Source organism: Homo sapiens, chromosome 5, assembly GCF_000001405.40.
Source record: "Homo sapiens chromosome 5, GRCh38.p14 Primary Assembly".
NCBI classification, from domain to species: Eukaryota; Metazoa; Chordata; class Mammalia; order Primates; family Hominidae; genus Homo; species Homo sapiens.
This window is the reverse complement of record NC_000005.10, coordinates 87,651,285-87,660,518: the sequence shown is the minus strand read 5'-3', so window position 1 is coordinate 87,660,518 and position 9,234 is coordinate 87,651,285. Positions and strand designations below refer to the sequence as shown.

The following is a 9,234-nucleotide window of genomic DNA, read 5'->3' as shown; positions in this document are numbered from 1 at the left end:
AAAATTTTAGAAGCTGTGAATTTCCATTTTTGTTATTGGTGATTTCTTTCATTTAATTAATTAATTATATTTATACATATCTGTTCATACAAAATACAGAATAAAATGAATGTATAACTAGTAGTACACTTTCCTTTATCATCATGCAATTCTTTTTCTTCTATTAAGAACCTATTATATAGAAAGTAGACTAGTAATTTCTTAAAGTTTCTAATTAAAGAATCCTAAACTAAAAGCTTCTGAGAAACAATGTTTAGGTTAATCAGCAAACACTTGGCATTTATTAAGGTTTTCTATTGCTATAAAAATTATCCTTTTTTTGAAAAAGTCAATATTTTAAATATCAAAATTTTCCAACTTTCAAATTAAAATTCAAACACAAGTTTTACCAAGACTAATTATTGCTTATTTAAGTGACACTGACCATGCTTCAGGCTGCAAAAAAGCTAAGGTTTCCTTCAGAAAGATATTTTTATTTTCAAAGAAAATATACCCCCTTTCCCGCCCCGCCCTGGACACACACCTCAAATGAACTGCCAGAGGAAAATGTAAGGGGTATCATTAATGTCGTCCTTTGTCCAATTTTTGATATTATTAGTGGAATTTTTCCTTCCCTTTCTTGGATTGAATCTCTTAATCTCTGGCCCTGTACAACTCTGAGGTATTTCTGACAACTTTAAAATATTTATAAACCAAATCCAAACTGCTGTAGGCCATGGTTGCCTCAGACCTCTTATCCTGTATCTGTGCAGGGCAAGAATAGCTTAGTCAGTGAATTCAGTTCCATAAGAATCAAAATCATCTGTTCCAGATTAAATAAATCAATGCTTTTGAGACTGAATTAACTGGCTTATATTATGAATTTATAATTTCCAGATTCATAATTCATTCACTATTTTACTCTGCGGGCACAATAAAATCCTAAAGGACTATTTACAAATTCTTGCAATGTTTCACAAAGAGGTAAACTTTAGCGCATTTGACATTTATGTTAGAAGTCTGAACTCTCTTTTGAGCAGCTCATTTGGACTTTAACCAATTCAAAAAAATGCAAATAAATATATAGAGAGATTCAACAAAAACTCAATCAATCAGGTGAAATAGGTAGTTGACTATCTCTGATGTAAAATTTGTTTGGTCTATACATGTTTTTAAATTAAAACTAGATACCAGTATTTAAAATTATAAGATTTTACATTAAAAAAAACAGAATTTTCTTTTTTTCTTGGAAAATCAGAGCTGACATTCCCACTAGGCAACAAACCCCTGGAGCCAGGTAGAGAATCCCCCTCTAAGCGAGTCCTGAGTCCTCCCTTTGCCAGGAGTCCTTACCAGGACGCTTCTCTCTTTTATGCTATTCCCGCACGTATCTGAATTTGTGACCTGGTGGCATCTGAGTTGGATTTGTGAAATCTGGGGGAGCACTACATTTTGAGACTGTTTTAAATCCACTGACCATGTCTGATTTATATATTTTTTATTCGATATAGGTATGTTTATAAATCTACTGTTCAAGTAATTCAGAATAAAAGGTAACCCACACAAAGAGTAAGCTGCCCTAGGTATCCAGGCTGCTTCTATGTATACGTTTTGACAATTCTGCTTATACCAGGTATTATCATGCTATCCGTTTAATAAAAAACATCAACAAAGCATCTCTAATAGAAAAGTCAAATAAAACATCATACAAATATTTACAGATTATTTCATTATAGCATACATAAAAATACACACTATGCACACACACACACACCCTTATGTACACTAGGTATACCATCAACTGTTTAAAATATCCTTTTCAGCAATAACTTTGAAGAGAGAACCCTGAGTCTTTTCTCTTTTCTCCTTGCTTCAACTTTAAAATACTTTAATTTTCTAGAACATATCTGTGGTTTCACCAGAGATCACAGTCCTCATAGTTTTCCTCCTAGCTTTCAGGATTTGTACCTAATACTCTGCCTCTCTAATTGGTAAGAGTGCAGGAAAAGCAAAAAAAAAAAAAAAAAAAAAAGATCTGGGACACTCCTGAGAACCGCCTCATTCTCTCCTCCATGTGGCCCCCACACAAAACAAGATTGATTACTTGAGTTCACATGAACCCTTTGGCAAAAACCTTGTGATCTAGTCCAGTCACAAGAAGACAATTGTTCTGTTTAACTGTAATAGAGAAACTATTTACTCCACAACTCTCACCTACGATAATTTATACTTTTAGTTGTAATTTACCTAAAGCAGCATTTCTCTCCTGCTTGAGTCCTTAGCAAGCATTGTCCATGAGGGTAAGCAAGTACACTTAAAATTAGATAACACCCCCCCCTTTATTTATTTATTTTTTTTGATACGGAGTTTTGCCCTCCTCGCCCAGGGTGGAGTGCAATGGTGCGACCTCGGCTCACTGCAACCTCCGCCTCCTGGGTTCAAGCGATTCTCCTGACTGGGCCTCCCAAGTAGCTGGGATTACAGGCATGCACCACCACACCTGGCTAATTTTTTTTTTTTTTTTTTCTTTGAGACGCAGTCTCGCTCTGTCGTCTGGCCTGGAGTGCGGTGGCGCGATATCGGCTCACTGCAAGCTCCGCCTCCCGGGTTCACGCCATTCTCCTGACTCCTGAGTCCTCCCTTTGCTCGGAGTCCTTACCAGGACGCTTCTCTCCTTTATGCTACTCCTGCAGGTATCTGAATTTGTGACCTGTTGCATTTGAGTTGGATTTGTGAAATCTGGGGGAGTGCTAAATTTTAAGACTGTTTTAAATCCACTGGCCATGTCTGATTTATATATTTTTATTCGAAATAAGTATGTTTATGAATCTCCTGAGTTGCAGCTGGGACTACAGGCGCCCACCACCACACCCGGCTAATTTTTTTGTATTTTTAATAGAGATGGGATTTCACCATATTGGCCAGGCTGGTCTCGAACTCCTGACCTCAGGTGATCCACTCAACCTTGGCCTCCCAAAGTGCTGGGATTACAGGCGAGAGCCACCATACCCGGCTATCACCACTCTTTAATAAGACCATTCAGTTGATTATTTTTTCTAAAATAAGGCTCTATCTTCACAAAAGGAAAATATTTTAAATCAACTCAAGGAGGCTTAACTGCTTCTTGAACATTTCGTTTTTATTACACATAAAGATGGGAATTTAGCGCACAGACAACTAGTCCTTCTCTACCCCAAATCAGGAAAATAGGTAAAAAATATTTCTTCCTTTTTTTCCTCTTCCCTTAGTTTGGTATGCACTGACCTGACGTTACATTTGTAGAGATGCTCACGACGTTCAGCTCTTCTGGCAATACTCCTTGCTCTTGATTTTGTTTTCCCTTCTATCTCAAAATTCTTTTTACTGCTTTCTCTTCTTTAAAGTTTCTGGTTGACGTCTGGTTCATTAAAACTATCTTGATAAATTCATCTGAGCAACAGTTTAATAGATAATAAAAGTGCCAGTGGTAGAGACAATTAGGTTCAAATGAACCTTCTCTCAAAACACCCCTCAAATCACACTATAGAAGCAAGTATCTGCCAAGCCAGTAATGGTTCCAGTGGCACCTAATTTAAGCCTTAAAACCAAAACAAAGAAGTACTGTTAGAGTAAATTCATTTGAAAAAAATAACATTTAAAAACACACTACCAATCTAATTTTAGTGAGGGTATGAGGCTATTTTATGGCTTGATTTAACCTATGGTTTAATAGTCATATAGGTAACATTGTTGCAGCCTAGGGTCTCAATTCCAAAGGTAATTTCTGAACTTAAATATTTCAGAGCACAGAATAGTGTTTGGATAAGAATATTTGCAGAATAGTAAACAGCTAGTGTCTTAAGGTTAATGGTCTACTACAATGTATCTGTAGTGTCTGTAAAATTTGTTTTGTATTATGATCTCCCCATCTTCATTGCAATAACTCACAGCCTTCCAGGTTTTTTTTTTCTTTCTCAAAGATTTAATTAGTTGGTTCAAAGGACCCATTTTCAAACATCCTTTATATTATACTTGGTGATTCTGACTTCTACATCTGGATTCAATGTCTTAAAAGATCTCCATTTCCATTTCTATAAATTTCAAACCTAGTCATCACCTGGAATATTTCTGCACCTTTTTTATGAACAAAAATTCTCCTCTCAAATCTTTCTCCTATACCTATGAGTTGCTTCCTCTCTTCCACTACATTTCATTTCCTCTCTACCATTTAAGCTTCTTTTCCTCTCATTGCATCTAGCATATTAGACCTTCCAGTTTTTATTTTGCTCTGTGTCAATCTCAATTCCACAATCAGCCACATTAAATGTGTCCTATCCCCTTAACTATCCACTTTAAGAGCTCTCTTCACCCTATTTAGGGATAAACCCAACATCCATTTACTTTATTCCCATTCCCATATAGTCAGGCATATGAACTTTAAATTCTTTTTTTTCTTTCTTTTTTTTTTGAGTGCAGTATTAACTCATATGATCACATTCAATCTTGATCACTGCAATGAGATAAATGATACCTCACATAAATTCCGTTGTATGTTCTACCTTTCACCCCCAAATTTATTCAGGCTCTACTCTTTCTTTCAGTCCTTGAATCAGAGGAAGATTTCTCTCTTCCTGCCACATACCAACTCTGATCCAAAAACCAATAATAATAATAATGCCTAATATTTACTGAGAATTTATGCCAACCACTGTGCTAAATACTTTACATGGATTATCTCACAGATCCTTATTTTAAACCTATGATATAAGTACAACTATTATTTTTTACAGATAGAGAAATTAAAGCTTGGATAATTTAAATAAATAACTCATAGTTATACAACCCTGGTAGAGCCAGATTCTGAACACCAGCCTGCCTGATTCTTTAGAATTTGATGATACTAAGAACTTGTCATATTTTTTCCATCTTCTCCATGATATTTTACTTTCCTGTTTTGTTTCATAAGTCTCTGAGCAGCTTTTCACATATCATTTGTTATCTACTCTTTTTATGTCCATAAGTTAAATATAGATTGGCCATTCTATTTTTTGCTACAAAATTTCCATCTAGACAATCTTTTTCTCTCCCATGGTATCATATGCCACTCCTGTCTGATTACAAAATATAGTACAAGTCCAGTATAGTAAATCTGCCTTGAGAACAACATCTAGTTGGACATGCCCAGGATGTCCCACTAAATCAAAAAACTAAACAGAGCTCACTCACCTCAGCTCATAAGAGTTTAATATGGCAGTGAACTAGTGAGTTCCCCTTTGGTTTCTCATACCTGTCTCAAAAAGTCTAAAGTCTATATGTGTGTGTATATATGTATGTGTGTGTATAGAAATATATATATATGTGTGTGTGTGTGTGTGTTTGTGTGTGTGAAGTCACAAATTTGCAAACAACTCAGACCTGCAAAGATCTATCTGGTCTTCCCTGTAAGCCCTCACCCATTAGGAAGTGGTAAGAAAGTACTCAAACACTTCCTAACATTTAGCCCAATACAGTAAGCTAACTAATTCTTTTAGATAATGCTAAGTCTTTGGGGTTATTTGCTCATTTTTTCACATTTCACTCTCTCTTTTTTGATTTATCTCTAAGACAGTGTTCCAGAACTGACATTCAGCTGATATTCTATTAACTCTTGTGAAACAGGTGTCTGTTTCAATTATTCAGTACCTTTAATATATTGGTTCTTAAATATTTTTAGTATTACCTTTAGTGTTTGGTATATGGTAGAAAGAGGAAGGGCTCACACAAACTCCTAGTGGTAGAATGAATGAAGTAATGCTTGTATCCTCACAGTCATTTTAAATTTTCCTCTGATTCATTTGATCACTGAGTGACTTGCTCATTTCCAAAATGGAAGTTAAAAATTGGTCTCTCCAAACCTGGGCAGATTCTAATAGTTCACCCTGAGTGCTCAAAATTAGCTCTTCCTGAAGTTGTCTGTCACATCTTCTTTCTGGCAGTAGGACTACTTCAACTCTTCCCTATGGTAGGTCCACTAAAAAGATGTTTATGAAATCATCACACAAAATAAAATATTTTAAAAAATTCAAGTATGTCAGTATTCACTTTAGTTCACAAAAGGCTGTTACCCAAGTACCATCCTCCAGGAACTGTGGGATTCCATTCTTCCTACAGGGGACATTAAGATTGCCTGGAAACTGAAGATTACCTGAGGATCATCCTAAGAAATTACCTCTCTCCGAAGCCCTAAAGAGAAATTTTCCAAGCCCTAATGGAAGACCATATTCCCTTGAAATTTCCTATGCCTGTGTAACAGACTTCCTTTTTTCCAAGTGGAAGCCCAAATGTTTCATAGAACACACATCTGTCAGCTATCCTGTCCTTCTCTATTTCCCATTTTCTTCCTACAACTTTTTAGGATGAAATACATAGGGCTTTATTTACCTTACATTATGGGCTGCCTCTTATTAGGAATTCCTAATGTTTTATTTTGTGTAATATATATTCTTTTTTGACATCTTCTTATATTTTGATTGACTAAATTTTCATTTATTTTTAAAATTATATTTATTTCTAAATAAAGTTGTATATTTTTAGAAAAATAAACCAATGGGTTAAAGCTTTCTCTTTTCATGTTATTATCCTTAAGTTTAATAAACTTAATTTAATTGGTTTATAGAGTTTCCTGCTATCAACATAAAATATGCATTCTTTTAAAACACACAAAACTTTAAAAGGTAACCATTTGGCCTCAACACAATCCCAATTCCAAAAAGTATAAACCATGCAGATTATAACATTAGTAACAATGCAATAATAATGGTAATTAATAATAAAAATTGCTAAAAATTCATCTGGCATGCACTTAGAAGTAACTCATGTTAAAGAAACCCACAAAAAATTACAGATAATAATGGAGTTCCATCATAGCAAATTTAGCTTTTACATATTCAGCTATGCTTACTTATAAGAGAGAAAAAGAGGGAGAGTGAGATATAAATAAATAGAGAAATAGTGTGGGTAATTCTGCCTGCTGTTCCACTCAAAGAGAAGGTGCATGTGAAAAGGGAGAGTTGTTCTGCTCTGTTAGCTTTGCTGTTCTTCGTGATGCAAATATTACACCACAGTGAAAATGATATGTGTTTTTAAAGATACGTCATGATGCCTTCCACTTTTGGTAATGACAGAGTAGGAGATAATTTGGACCTAACCACTAAGTGAAGCCAACAGAGGAGGACTTACTGTGAACCTACTTGAGCTTAGATTACAGGGCTCTTCACTTGCACAGTTCCTCCCAAGGCCTCATATCTAATTTTGCATTCTGTTTCTTAAAGAGGGACCTACAAGTTGGGTCAGCTTTGGGCTCCACAAAATAGGACAGCCACTAAAAACAATTAAAAATTTCAAAATGATGGTGAAGAATAACCATGTCAAGAGCTAGGAAAATATAGAAATCCAGGTAAGTGGCTGGGCCTGGTAGTGGTAGTTCATGCCTGTAATCCCAGCACTTTGGGAGGCCAAAGTGAGGATCACTTAAGCCCAGGAGTTTCAGACAAGCCTGGGCAACATAGTGACACCTCATCTCTACAAATTTGAAAAATGAGCTGGGCATGGTGGCAGGCACCTGTCGTCCCAACTACATGAGAGGTTGAGGCAGGAGGATAATTTGAGCCCAGGAGGACAAGGCTGCAGTGAGCTGTGTTCATCACACCACTGCACTCCAGCCTGGGTGACAGGGTGAGACTGAGAAAGAAAGGAAAAGGAAGGAAGTAAAGAAGGAAGGAAGGAATGGAAAGAAATAAGGGAGGGAGGGAGGGAAGAAGGAAGGAAGGAAGGAGAAAGAAGCAAGGAGGAAAGGAAGGAAGGAAGAAGAAAGAAAGAAGAAAGAGAAAGAAAGAAAAGAAAGAAAGAGAAAATAAAGAAAGAAAGAAGAGAGAAAGAGAAAGAAAGTAAGAAAGAAAGAAGAAGGAAGGAAGAAGGGAAGGAAGAGAGAGAAAGACCAAATGAAGAAATGGGAGAAATCCAGGTAAGCCTGGTCTTCAGGACTATTTCTGTGCAGGAGATGTGCACAGATTTAGAAGGAACATTGAGAACCTAAGGAACACCTCTGACAAATTCTTTGATATAGAGCAACAAAACTGGAGTCCAAGCCTTGGCAAGGGAAGATGTCTATGGTAAACAACTCCTGAGGGTCACACACTCAGAGTAAAAATGAACAGAAAGTAATGCACCCTTTGCAAGCACTTGAGTCAACCTCAGAGACATCTGGGGACACAGAAAACCTTACATCTTGAAATTAACTTAAGATCACTTGTTTTGCACATGCCCCAAAATACCTGGAAAAAACAAAAGAAAATTTCCTCCAAAGGAAATAAACTTTAACTTCAAATTATTTCTACAAATGACTTTTTAAAATAAAACATCCAGCACGCAACTAAATATGAGAAAAAAGGACAATATAGGAAAACAATCTACACGATAAAAAGTGCGATAGATCCACAAGCACTCTAGTCAATGGAATTACTAGCAACAGACTGTAAAATAATGATGACTTACTATGCTCTTAGAATTAAAAGTATAATATCCAAATATCAGCTAAGAACTAGAAATTATGAAAAGTGACATAATCTCTTTGAAAAAACTAGAAATTCTGTGGCTAAAATGCACACAAAAAAGGTAAGAATACTCTGGATAGTATAATGGCAAATAAGACATAAGGAGAGAATTAATGAATGAGAGATTAAAACAAGCTGCCTGTTTTTGGTAAGCAGATGGCTTTCTGGTGATTACAAACCTCACTGGGGGCAAAAGGATCTCCAAGTTTATTATTATCGCAATTTTATGGAGAAATTAATTGACTCTTGCTCTCTCACTCCTAATCCTAATTTGGGTTTGGGGAAGAACCCTGACAGGGCCATATAATATCAAGCATTCACCCTTTGTCTAATCAACTATGCCTAGGAGAGTGATGCATCTTGAAATGTCCCCAAAACATATAGGTTGAACTTGTATACAACAATTGGAAATGCAGAACTTGGAAATTCAGAAATGCATATAATTTTTTTATGAATAAAACTTTGCCTTACATTTTATTGAAAATTATAAATAGAAATCTTTAGAATATATTACACTATCTTTATTAACATTCCCTAGAATGTCACTCTTCTTTTGAAATACTGAATATGCTCATTTTTGGTGAGTTTCCTGTTTTCCTACTTAAAGTGGGATCTCCAGGTCACTTATTGAAGGGATATTCATTTTGCTTCATCTTTCTGTAGCATTTAATAACCTTGACTGCTT

The 9,234-nt window shown here is 35.7% G+C and overlaps 1 long non-coding RNA gene across 1 annotated transcript in view; it reads left to right on the top strand.

Annotated features, from left to right (window-relative positions):
• LINC02144 (long intergenic non-protein coding RNA 2144) overlaps positions 1-2,551 on the top strand; it is a 75,109-nt gene extending 72,558 nt beyond the window's left edge. The window contains exon 8 of the long non-coding RNA NR_183312.1: positions 2,513-2,551. This is a non-coding gene — a long non-coding RNA (long intergenic non-protein coding RNA 2144). The remainder of the gene's footprint in view (positions 1-2,512) is intronic.
• The last annotated feature ends 6,683 nt before the right edge of the window (positions 2,552-9,234 follow it).